At 47.8% G+C, this 12,260-nt stretch overlaps 1 protein-coding gene across 4 annotated transcripts in view, besides 1 other annotated feature; it reads right to left on the bottom strand.

Moving 5' to 3' along the window:
* Window positions 1–12,260, bottom strand: part of GALNT17 (polypeptide N-acetylgalactosaminyltransferase 17) — a 581,456-nt gene that overhangs the window by 470,934 nt on the left and 98,262 nt on the right. The gene's annotated exons all lie outside the window — the stretch shown is intronic.
* Window positions 3,089–3,589: an enhancer, noted in NCBI's record as "H3K27ac hESC enhancer chr7:70704063-70704563 (GRCh37/hg19 assembly coordinates)". NCBI's record gives its function as "activates a minimal SCP1, AML or CMV promoter by ChIP-STARR-seq in primed H9 embryonic stem cells {active_cell/tissue: H9 hESC(primed)}" and the evidence as "EXISTENCE:reporter gene assay evidence [ECO:0000049][PMID:30033119]".

Here is a 12,260-nt window from a genome sequence, read left to right as displayed (position 1 = left end):
ACTCAAAACTACATCTGCATTCCAGCCTGTGGCAGATAGGAGGTGAATCAGTTTGGACGTTCATCCCCTCCAAATCTCCATGTTGAAATGTGATCCCTGACCAGGCGCGGTGGCTCACACCTGTAATCCCAGCACTTTGGGAGGCTGAGGAGGGCGGATCACGAGGTCAGGAGATCGAGACCATCCTGGCTAACATGGTGAAACCCTGTCTCTACTAAAAATACAAAAAATTAGCCGGGCGTGGTGGTAGGCGCCTGTAGTCCCAGCTACTCGGGAGGCTGAAGCAGGAGAATGCGTGAACCCAGGAGGCGGAGTTTGCAGTGAGCTGAGATGGCGCCACTGCACTCCAGCCTGGGCGACAGAGTGAGACTCTGTCTCAAAAAAAAAAAAAAAGAAAAAGAAAAAGAAAAAAAAAAAAAAAGAAATGTGATCCCTAATGGCAGAGGTGGGCCAAGTGGAAGGTGTTTGGGTTTTGGAGACAGATCCCTCATGAATGGCTTGGTGCCCTCCTCATTGAATTGAGCAAGTTCTTGCTCCACTAGTTCACAAGAAAGCTGGTTGTTTAAAAGGGTCTGGCACCACCTTCTCTCTCTCTCTTGCTCCCTCTCAACATGTGACATGCAGGCTGCCCTTCCTCTTCAGCCATGAGTGGAAGTTTCCTGAGGTCCTCACCACAAGCAGATGCTGGCACCATGCTTCTTGTACAATCTGCAGAACCATGAGCCAAATAAGCCTCTTTGCTTTGTAAATTACCAACCCTCGGGTATTCTTTTTTTTGGGATAAGGTCTCATCCTGTCACCTAGGCAGGGGTGCAGGGGCGTGATCATGGCTCACTGCAGCCTAGAACTCCTGGGCTCAAGCAATCCTCCTGCCTCAGCCTCCCAAGCTGCTGGGACTACAGGTTCACATCACCATACCTGGCTAATTTTTTAAATTTTTTGTACAGACAAGGTCTCCCTATGTTGTCCAAGCTGGTTGGGAACTCCTGGCTTCAAGCAATCCTCCTGCCTCAGCCTCTCAAAATGCTGGGATTACAGGCATGAGACACTGCACCCAGCCTCAGGTATTCCTTTATGGCAACACAAACAGACTAAGAGGAAAGGGAAGAGTAAAGCATGCTCCTTGCCTTTAAGAGCAAAATTGGAAATGGAACGTGGCACTTTGGTTCACATCCCTGTTCTTTGGTTTATATCTCCTTAGAGGAAAGGATCTACTCACCTCCAGGCGACCACAATGCAAGAGAAGCTGGGAAGTATCATTCTTCTCTGGGTGGCCACATGTCCAGCTAAAAAGCCTATCTCTAGGGAGGGTGAAGTGGACAAACAGCAATCTTTTTCACAAAGGGGGAAGGATACAACAGAAGTTGATGTTTATCCCCAGGGAGCTTACTTACCCAAACAACTCTACCATCAGGGCCCTTACCAGATCCGCCAAACCAGGGAGGAGAGAAAGAGTGAGAAAGGTATCAAGTAATCCAAGGGCATTCGTCTCCTTGAAAATTTTTAACTTTAGAATATTCCAAGTATGATGGCAAAACAAGCCACTTTCAAAGAACTTACAGAGAACATCATCATAAACACAGCAAGCTCAGAGCCAGAGCAACAGAACTATCTGATCCCCAAAATGCTGCCATTTCCATTCCCAATATCAAAGACATGGAATCAACCTAGGTGCCCATCAACAGTGGACTGGATAAAGAAAATGTAGTACGAGTGGCTCACACCTGTAATCCCAGCACTTTGGGAGGAAGAGGCAGGCGGATCACGAGGTCAGGAGATCGAGACCATCCTGGCTAACACGGTGAAACTCCGTCTCTACTAAAAATACAAAAAATTAGCCAGGCGAGGTGGCGGGCGCCTGTAGTCCCAGCAACTCGGGAGGCTGAGGCAGGAGAATGGCGTGAACCCGGGGGGCGGAGCCTGCAGTGAGCCGAGATCGCACCACTGCACTCCAGCCTGGGCGACAGCGAGACTCCATCTCAAAAAAAAGGAAAAAAAGAAAAAAGAAAATATGGTACGTATACGCCATGGAATACTAGACAGGCATAAAAAAGAACAAAACCATGGCCTTTGCGGCAACCTGGATGCAGCTGGAGGCCATTATCTTAAGAGAATTAATGCAGACACAGAAAACCAAATACTGCATGTTCTCACTTATAAGTGGGATCTAAACAATGGGTACCTATGGACTTAACAGGTGAGAACAACAGACACTGGGGACTCCAAATAGAGGGAGACAAGAAGGGAAGTGAGTGTTGAAAAACTACCTACTGGATACTGTGCTACCTAGGTGATGAGTTCACCTGAAGCCCAAACCTCAGCATCATGCAATAAACCGTTGTAACAAACCTGCACATGTACCCCTTGAATCCAAAATAAAAACTGAAATTAAAAACAACGAAAAAATACATTTGATATCTGAGATTATATCTCATCTAAATACAATTGACAATTCTCCGGTCTCGGCTGAGACAGGCATGCATCTCTGTCTACTTCTGTCTTCTCCCCAGGCTGTGAAGTAGCTACTAGGTAAGGATCCAAAAGAGTTAGGCAAGCTTTTAACGTTCCACCCTCTAAGGGAAAACGTGGGAAATGTCACTTCTGTGTAACTGTGAGGCATTCTTTTATTTCAATATGTCCAAAGTCTCTTAAAACACCCAAATGTAAGAAAACTGAGTTTTAACTCCCAGTGACTCAAATGTAATATAGGACAGAAATGACAGCTTATTTTTAATAAGCTCTGCAAACAACCACTTCCCCTTACTCTGAAGTCACTTATCACTTTATTCTTGAAGAATAACAATGTAAAACTCATTTTTCTAGCCACACTCAGCATTTCCTAAATGGATGGCTTAAATTTCAGAGTGTGAGCTAGTAAAGTTATTTTTAAACCTGTTTTCCAGAGCCTCGTCACATGTCCCAGCTTGTCTGTGTCCCTACTTTGGGGCCTGGAGTGAAAAACAATCCCAAGCTCTGCTCAGCTGTGCCGTTTCAGAGATCCAGCCCTGCTTCGTGAAATCAGAAGCCTTGGGGTTAAAGCATCACTGGCCCTTCTAGATACTGCTGTCATGCAGGAACCTCTCAGAAGAAAAGAGAAAGGGCTTTGACATTAGATCTCTCTTGCTGCATAACAAATTACCCCAACTGAGTCATGAACACAGTATTTTTTTATTTCATTTATTTATTTCTTTTTCAAGACAGGGTGTCTCTCTGTTGTCTAGGCTGGGGTGCAGTAGCACAATCATAGCTCACTGCAGCCTTGAATTCCTGGGCTCAAGTGATCCTTTTGCCTCAGTCCCCAGGTAGCTGGGACTACAGGCATGTACCACCATGCCCAGCTAATTTTTATTTATTTTTTTTTGGGGGGGGGTACAGACAGGGTCTCACCATGTTGCCAAGGCTGGTCTTGAACTCCTGGCCCTAAGTAATCCTCCCACCTCAGCCTCCCAAAGCATTGGAATTATAGGCATGAGCCACTGTGCCCAGCCCAAACAATATTTACTATCCCAGAGTTTCTATGGGTGGGAAATTTGGGCATAGCATAGCTTGGTGCCTCTGACTCAAGGTGTCTCATTAGATTGCAATGGGACTGTCGGCTGGGGCTGCAGGCTCATCTCTAGGCTTGACTGGGGACAAGGGGGAATTCTCCTCCAGATTCACTCACACGGTTGCTGACAGGCCTCAAGCCCTTGCCATGTGGCTTATCTACAAGGGGACCTCACGGTGTGGCAGCTGAGTTCTCCCAGGTGAGTGACATGAGAGACGGAGAGAGGGCACACCCTAAGATAGAAGCCACAGTCTTATTATAACCTAATTTCAGAAGTGGCACACATGGTCTCTGCTGCATTGTAGTTATTAGAATGAGTCAATAGGTCCCACCCACATTCCAGGGGAGAGGATTAACAAGGGTATAAATGCTGGAGACCCCCACGGGGCCACCAGACAGGCTGCTGACTACAACCTCCTTGTGGTATGAATGGGTGTTTAACCGCACACAGAGAGAGGCACCATTTCATTATCCCACTTGGAAGCCAGAACACACACAGAATCCCAGTCATTCACAGGGCTGGCGAGACCTTCATTTCCCCACCTTTCAATATTTAGCCCATCATTTATAATAAATACTGAACACAGACCAGGTGCAGTGGGGTGATGGCTCATGCCTGTAACCCCAACACTTTGGGAGGCTGAGGCAGGAGGATCACTTGAGCCCATAAGTTGAAGGGTGCAGTGAGTTATGGTCACACCACTGCACTCCAGCCTGGGAGACAGAGTGAGACCATGTCTCTCTAAATAAATAAATAAATTCCGAATGCAGCTAGATGCAAATGTGAAAGGCTTCTGGGAGAGACCTCTTTCCCAACCCCTCACCTTCCCTGCCTCCCACCCTGGAACCAGAGTCCCCTCCATGCCTGAAATACTGCAAAAGAAAGTAACTGCTCTTGGCTCAGTTCCTCTGGGGCTCTCTCCTACAGTTCTGCCTGCTCAGAGAGAGAGTGTGGCTGCTCTGCCCTCTGCCTTATGGAATGTGCTCTGTGCCACAGGGGAGCTGCCCAGCTCTGGCTCTGTTTGCTGAATACATTAAATAGTGGAGTGGATTAGTGGGAGACTCACTGTGGCCATGGATCTAAGCCACGCCCTTAAGCACAGCTTCTCTCAATAAATAAAGTGGATATTTTTCACTCCATTGGTCAGATTCCCGTGTTTATTTCTCAAGTGATTTCAAACTCAGCAAGGATAGAAACGGGTGCCCCCTAACGCATCCCCATCACACACAAAGATCTAGTCCACCAGTCCACACTCCTATTTGAAAAGTGAGTAAACTGAGGCATTAAGAGGCAGTGGGGTGATGGGAAAACATCCCCAAAAAGTTCCAAAACTCTTATTTAGCCACTAATTATTTATTAAGCCCCTGGCTGTGTGCTAAGCTCTGTGCTGGGGCTGGCTATTTTCCGTTTACTTGTTTGTTTGTTTGGTTTTTGAGAAAGGGTATCACTCTGTCACCCATGCTGGAGTGCCATAGCCTGATTATAACTCGCAGTAGCCTCAAGCTCCTGGGCTCAAGCAGTCCTCCCATGTCAGCCTCCTGAGTAGCTGGGACTACAGGCGTACACAATTATGCCCTGTTTTTTCTTTTTTTTTTTTTTTTTTTTTCAGAGATGGGATCTTACTATGTTGGCCAAGTTGGTCTCAGACTCCTGGCCTCAAGCGATCTGCCTTGGCCTCCCAAAGCGCTGGGATTACAAGCATGAGCCACCACATCTACCCAGGGCTGGCCCTTATTCCAGACATCTTCCTGTTCCGTCCCAGGCAAATGACTACACCCCTCTGAGCCCCAATTCTCTCATCTTGAAAATGGGGATCAAGTGAAATGGTGCATATAAAGTTCACACCTACAGTAAACAGTCAACAAATGTCAGCTACTCCCCCGAACTTGCCGGGGGAATGCCTACTTGCATTACATACGGAGACAATAAAGCTATTTTTCAAAGGCAATTTAAAGAAGGAGGCGATCTGCCTATGATTGGATGAATGGGGGTATTTCAGTTCCACTCCCGTGGTTTTTGACCCTACCTCCCACTCTCTGGACCCCCAAAAAAGAATGTGGCAGCGTGTTTGTGCATTGTCAGGGAGCCACGAGATTCCCTGGGTGTTCTGGCAGGCGATGCATGAGATTTTGCCAGGGCAGTAACAAACCAAGACAAAGAACTTAGGCATCTCCCTCAAGGACACTCAGTGAGCGTGGAGCACAGACAAAAATAGAGCAGAGGATGGATCATTCCCTTCCCCGTCCTGGCTTTCTTTTCTTCTCTCTCTCTAATGGCTTAGATTATTATTTTCTCCCAGCACGACCATCAGCTATTAGAGCAGGTGCAGTTTTTGTAAACACCCCGCAGAAGTGCTGCGAGGGAGGTCAAGGGCAGGTGCCCCCGCCGAGGGCTGGCCTGGATTCCATGTTTCTGGTTCTTGTTGCTATTGTTCGGTTGCATCAGCACACAGCCTGGAGGTTGCATCCTGCGATCCAGGAGTGTTTGGCAGCAGAGGGAACACCAGCCCGTCCCTCCCAGGTGGGACAGATGACAGCAAGTCTAAGGCAAAGCAATGTATTCCCCATCTTATAGAAAAAGATAACAAGGCACCCCTATAGGCAGCCAATTATGCAGGCACCCAGGATGTGTAGTTTGCAGAGCCCTGGAGAAAAACGCCCTAAGCAGGAGACTAGGCCCGTCCAACAGTGAGGCTGTGAGGACAATGGTATTGCTGAAACCTACAGCCAGTGGCCTTGACAAAGCAGTTTGCTTTCTGGTGCAGCAAGTTTCAGTTTGGTCTTTGGAGCTCAGTTTTACACCATTGAAAATTAAAATACCCTGAGATAGGGTAGCAATGAAGCCCTCAGCCGCCCCTTACACCTCAGTGTAAGTGAGTTTGTCAGCTCTTTTCCTAAGAGAGTAGATTTTTATTTTTTTTTTTATTTAATTTTTTTGAGACAGAGTCTCACTCTGTCTACCCAGGCTGAAGTGCAGTGGCGCGATCTCAGCTCACTGCAACCTCCACCTCCTGGGTTCAAGCAATTCTCCTGCTTTAGCCTCCCAAGTAGCTGGGATTACAGGTGCCTGCCACCACGCCCGGCTAATTTTTGTGTTTTTAACAGAGACAGGGTTTCTACCATGTTGGTTAGCCTGGTCTCGAACTCCTGACCTCAGGTGATCCACCCGCCTCAGCATGCCAAAGTGCTGGGATTAAAGGCGTAAGCCACTGTGCCTGACCAAGAGCAGACTTTTAAATGGCACAGGAGATGCAAATCCAAGGACACTGGGAACCAGATGGAAGGAAGAAGGAGTGGAGCTTGTCCCCATGAAGAAGGAGTGGAGCTTGAGGAGAAGGGCACCCCCTTCCTCATGCTTCCCGGTGCTGGAGCTGGGGGAACCCAGGCCACAGGCTAGACTAAATAGAAGTTTGCTTTCGTTTGGTGCAAGACCCATTACTTTCCATCACTGGGAGCCTGAATGCGGTGCTGGGAGATTGATAAAAGCCTGACTTTTCAGTAAATCTGGAGAAAAATATCTGATGACGTTTTATTTTGTTCTTCTGTATTTTCTGGTCTTATGGAAACTAATTCTGTACAACAGCGGTTCCATCAAAGCCTTTCTTTTCTTCTCTCCCTCCCCCTTGCAACACTGGACAAAGATTTCTCATTTCATACGTCATTTATTCCAGCAGTAATTCTATCCGAGTCACTCCAGGTCCTTCGCAAACAAAAACAGCAAAATGAAATTCGGTGGCAGTATTAAGATGACGGTTGCGGGTGATGCAGCCTTCTGTGCAATAAAGTCACAAACCCTGGGCAGAGGGTCTGATTCTCAACCACGGGCAACACCTAAAACGAACAGACCAAATTTTTTTTTTTTTTTTCCGAGATGGAGTGTTGCTCTGTCACCCAGGCTGGAGTGCAATGGCGCAATCTTGGCTCACTGCAACCTCTGCCTCCCGGGTTCAAGTGATTCTCCTGCCTCAGCCTCCCGAGTAGCTGGGACTACAGGCGCACGATGCCACACCCAGCTGATTTTTTGTATTTTAGTAGAGACAGAGTTTCACTGTGTTGCCCAGGCTGGTCTCAAACTCCTGAGCTCAGGCAATCTGCCCGCCTCAGCCTCCCAAAGTGCTAGGATTACAGGCATGAGCCACCGCGCCCCGCTGAACAGACCGAACTTTTTATCCTTAAGATCAAAATCAAACCTCCAGCGTCCTCTGCATAGGCAGGAGACCCAACAGTCACTATGCAGGAGGAGACAAGGTACAAAAAGGCACTTAGACACCCAGGCCACCTGGCAACACAGAACAAATCTCCAGTCCCCAAATTCAGGAGTCAGCATCCCTAATATGGAAACCTGCTTGAACAGTGGAAATAACGCATCTGGTTCAGCACTGTGGTTTATCTTGCTAGAAAGTTCCATGTCAACATGGTTCATTATGACCACGGATGAAAGCAAGCTCTGTTCCAGGACAGGCAGCTCAGTTTGTAGTGGGTGCAGTTTAGTTTCCCTCCATTCACCCTACCCCTTCCCTCCTCCTTGGTTTGTACTTCAAGGTTAAATGCAATGGGTCGGGAGCGGTGGCTCACATCTCTAATCTTAACACTTTGGGAGGCCGAAGTGGGCTGATCACCTGAGCTCAGCAGTTCAAGACCAGCCTGGGCAACACAGTGAAACCCTGTCTCTCTACTAAAAATACAAAAAATTAGCTGGGTGTGGTGGCAGATGCCTGTAATCTAGCTACTTGGGAGGCTGAGCCACAAGAATAGCTTGAACCTGGGAGGCAGAGGTAGCAGTGAGCCGAGATTGCGCCACTGCACTCCAGCCTGGGCGACAGAGTGAGACTCTGACTCAAATAAATAAATAAACTTATAAAATTAAATGCAATGTCCTTACAGATAGCTCAGAAACTGATCATGCAAACTACCTAAAAGTGACAGGATAGCTCTCCGATTGTAGCCTGGTTGGTTGTGCTAAACCACCCAAAGCAAGAAGTGTGTTGATATGGTTTGGGTTTGGATGTGTGTCCCACCCAAATCTCACGTCAAGTTGTAATCTCCAGTATTGAAAGAGGGACCTGGTGGGAGGTGACTGGATCACGGGGGCAGATTTCCCCCTTGCTGTTCTCATGATAGTGAGTTCTCATGAGATCTGATTGTTTAAAAGTGTGTGGCACCTCCCTCTTTGACCACTTTCTCCTTCTCTGGCCATGTGAGACGTGCCTGCTTCCCCTTTGCCTTCCACCATGATTTTCCTGAGGCCTCCCAAGTCATGCTTCCTGTACAACCTGTGGAACTGTGAGTCAATGAAACCTGTTTTCTTTATGAATTACCCAGTCCCAGGTAGTTCTTTACAGCAATGTGAGAATGGACTAATACATGTGTGCTCCCAAGGGCTGTGGGTCAGCACAGAACCAGAGAATGAGAGCCCCAAAGGCAAGGCCACCCCTACCATCAGGCAGTAGAGATGCACCCACCATCCCAGACTCTTGCCATCACAGGCTGGATTCATCCGGCTCCCCTTGTCCTGAATATAGGCTCCCAGAGCAACCTTCTGATCATCCTGGCTTCCCATATGGCCAACAGGGAACTCTTGCACAGATCATGCCAATGAGAATATGCTAGGCTCTGGAGCAGTTCTATCTCTCTTTGCAATTTAATTCATTGGCCTTCTAAGGTCTACTTCTGTTGAAGGTAACTTTCAGCTGATATGAGTCCCTCACAGAGGTACTGTCTTGGGAGCCTTCAGAACAGAAGACACGATGCTGATGGAGGATGCGCTCATCCAGGGACTGCCCAGCTCCCTCGCCATCCTCTCTCCCTCCAACACCTCACCCTAGTCCTGTGAACATGGGACAAAAGCCACAAGGTAGGGATTGGCTCTTACCCCTGACACTGCCCCAGGCTTGTCAGCTCAATAACTCATAGACTCCACACTTGGAAAGGAAGGTGTGAGAAAGATGGAGGAACAGGAGTGTGGGGCAGAGAGCCACCAGGGTTAGCAGCCGAACACGGGAATATTTCAAATGGCTTTCTTCCGGGTTGGTGAAGAAGCCCTTCTTCAGCTCTCTGGACCTCAGTTTCCCCCTCTGTAATGCAGGGAGTAGAACCTACTTCACAGGGTTGTTGAGAGGATTAAAGGAGACAATATGTGTGAACTTGGAACTCACTGTGGAAATGTATGCTACTTCTGAGATAGGAGATGGGACTGGACTTTGGACGAGATTGGTAACTGGCTAAATTACGGAAGAGGCACCAAAAGCACCTCTCCATAACATACACCCATCAGCACCATGACAGCCCACCACTGCCATGGCCACACCCAGAAGTTACCACCCCTCATCTAGAAATTTCTGCATAACCCACCCCTTAATTTGCGTGTAATTAAAAGTGGGTATAAATAGAACTGCAGCACGGACCCTGAGCGGCTGCACTCCACACACTGCCTATGGGGCAGCCCTGCTCTGCAGGAGCAGTCACAGAGCTGTAACACTAATGCCTCCATAAAGCTGGTTTCTTCTACTACTGGCTCACTCTTGAATTCTTTCCTGAGCAAAGCCAAAAACCTTCCCAGGTTAAGCCCCAATTTTAGGGCTCACCTGCCCTGCATCACTTCCAATCACTTATTAAATCCCCCCTAGTCCCTAACTCCTGCTTTCCTATGCCCTATATCTGTGACTCCCCCCTACTCCCCACTGCTTTGGCTAAAATACAAGTAACCCTGGAATGGTCAGTGGCAGTAGAGCATGTTCTGCAAGGCTGCACCACCCCCACTGACCCTGACCACCAAGGCTCCCAAAAGGTGTTCAATCTTTCACCCCTGCACAAATGAGATGGTGGGGTGGGGGCAGTGGTGGGCAGTAATTACAGAAAGAAAGAACAAGAAATCTAAGGACAGAAATGTGTAGGCCTCAGGGATTTGGCAGATCCCCTCAGAGAGAAGGACTGCGCATCCACACACTTTATGACTCATGACCTTACATCCCAAACTCTCTTTCTCAATATTTGCTCACACTCCCTGAATCTCCCCATGTTCGCTGGTCTATGTAGCAATCCTAGAATTCTCCAAAGCAAATGGTGACTCTGAATACAACTCAGGGAATTCTGAAGCTACTAAAGACCCTCATATAACCCAAGGGAGAGGAGCCACTGAGAACCTACTTCCCCAATGTTATGGACTTAATGCCTGTGCCTCCCCTAAATTTCATGCTGAACCTATATCCCTGCAATGTCATGGTATTTGAAGGTGGGGCCTTTGGGAGGTAATTAGGTTTAGATGGTGTCATGAGGGTGGGGCCCTCATAATGGGATTAGTGCCCTTATAAGAAGAGAAAGAAGAGACTAGAAAGCGCTCTCTCTCTCCCTCTCCCTCTCTCTCTCTCTCCCTCTCCCTCCCTCTCTCTCTCCCTCCCCCACTCCCCTCTTCTCTTTTCTCTCTCCTTTCTTCTCTCCTTGCTCTATCTGTCATGTGAGGACACAATGAGAAGGTAACCAACTGCAAACCAGGAAGAGAGCCCTCACCAGTATCTGACCATGCTGGCACCCTGATCTTTGTCTTTTCAGCCTTCAGAATCATGGGGGAAAAAGATGTCTGTCGTTTAAGCCACTCAGTCTATGGTATTTCATTACAGCAGCCCAAGCCGACTAAAACACCCATCTTTCCATCCACCCTCTCTTCCATAGCAAGCTCTGGACTTGCACTTCTCCAGGTGCAGTTTGCAGATTACCTGTATCCAAATCGCCTGCCATGTTGCAGATTCCTGAGCCCATCCTATATCTACTAAATCCAAATATCTGGGGGAAAACCCAGATACCAGCTCAGAAATCTGCATTGTAAACAAGCTCCCAAAAGATTCAAGTCTAAGGTCAACCATCCCAGGGTCTACTGGAAAAAAAAAAAAAACAGCAAAAATATCCTTCAGTCCAACATGAACCATGGACAGATGAAATTCCCTCATGAATTTCACTGATTATTACTAATGGGGAAAGTGAATTTAAAGCTTAGATCACCTTAAGAAAAAGAGGAATAATTTACAAATGTGAATGAATTTCTTACTATTCCTTTTCTTTCCCTTCCCTCCCCAGAGATAGTCATATTTCAGAAATCCTAAGTCTAAGGTTCTCAAATTTGTTCCTGCATCAGTATTACCCAGAGGGCTTGTTCAGACACAGAGAGCTGGTCCTCACGCTACAGTTTCTGATTCAATGAGTCTGCGGTGGGGCCCAAGACTTTACAACTCTAACACATTCCCAGGTGATCTTGACGACGTTGGTTTGGGGCACACACTTTGAAAACCACTGTCTCATGTGCTCTATCTTTGGAAAACCAAGGCGGACTCCCCAGCATGCTCACGAAGGGGATCTGAAAAACCAAAAACACACCCAGGGATGGGTCTGGATGCCCTCCTAACCTCCCGGGCAGGGTCCATGGCTCCTAATGAAGATGGTTGTCTGCTCTCTTCCTATAGGTGCCCAGACACCAAGGCTCCTTAAGCGGCACTGTGCCAACACTACTGGCTATCTAACCAGTCCTCATCCACAGTCCCCAACCACTCACCATGCCGGCCTCCTCTGCAGCTAAGGGTGGCCAAGTGACAGAGTTCTGACCAAAGGAACACAGGGAAAGTCGGCTGGTGGCAGGGGAGGGGGTGTGCGTGGAAAAGAAGAGAAAGCTGTTGTTCTCCTGATGCTGGTACCAACTTCCCTCCCTGTTTCTTGAACGTGGGCT

This window comes from Homo sapiens, chromosome 7, assembly GCF_000001405.40.
Source record: "Homo sapiens chromosome 7, GRCh38.p14 Primary Assembly".
Lineage (NCBI taxonomy): Eukaryota > Metazoa > Chordata > Mammalia > Primates > Hominidae > Homo > Homo sapiens.
This window is presented reverse-complemented; position numbering and strand designations above follow the sequence as displayed.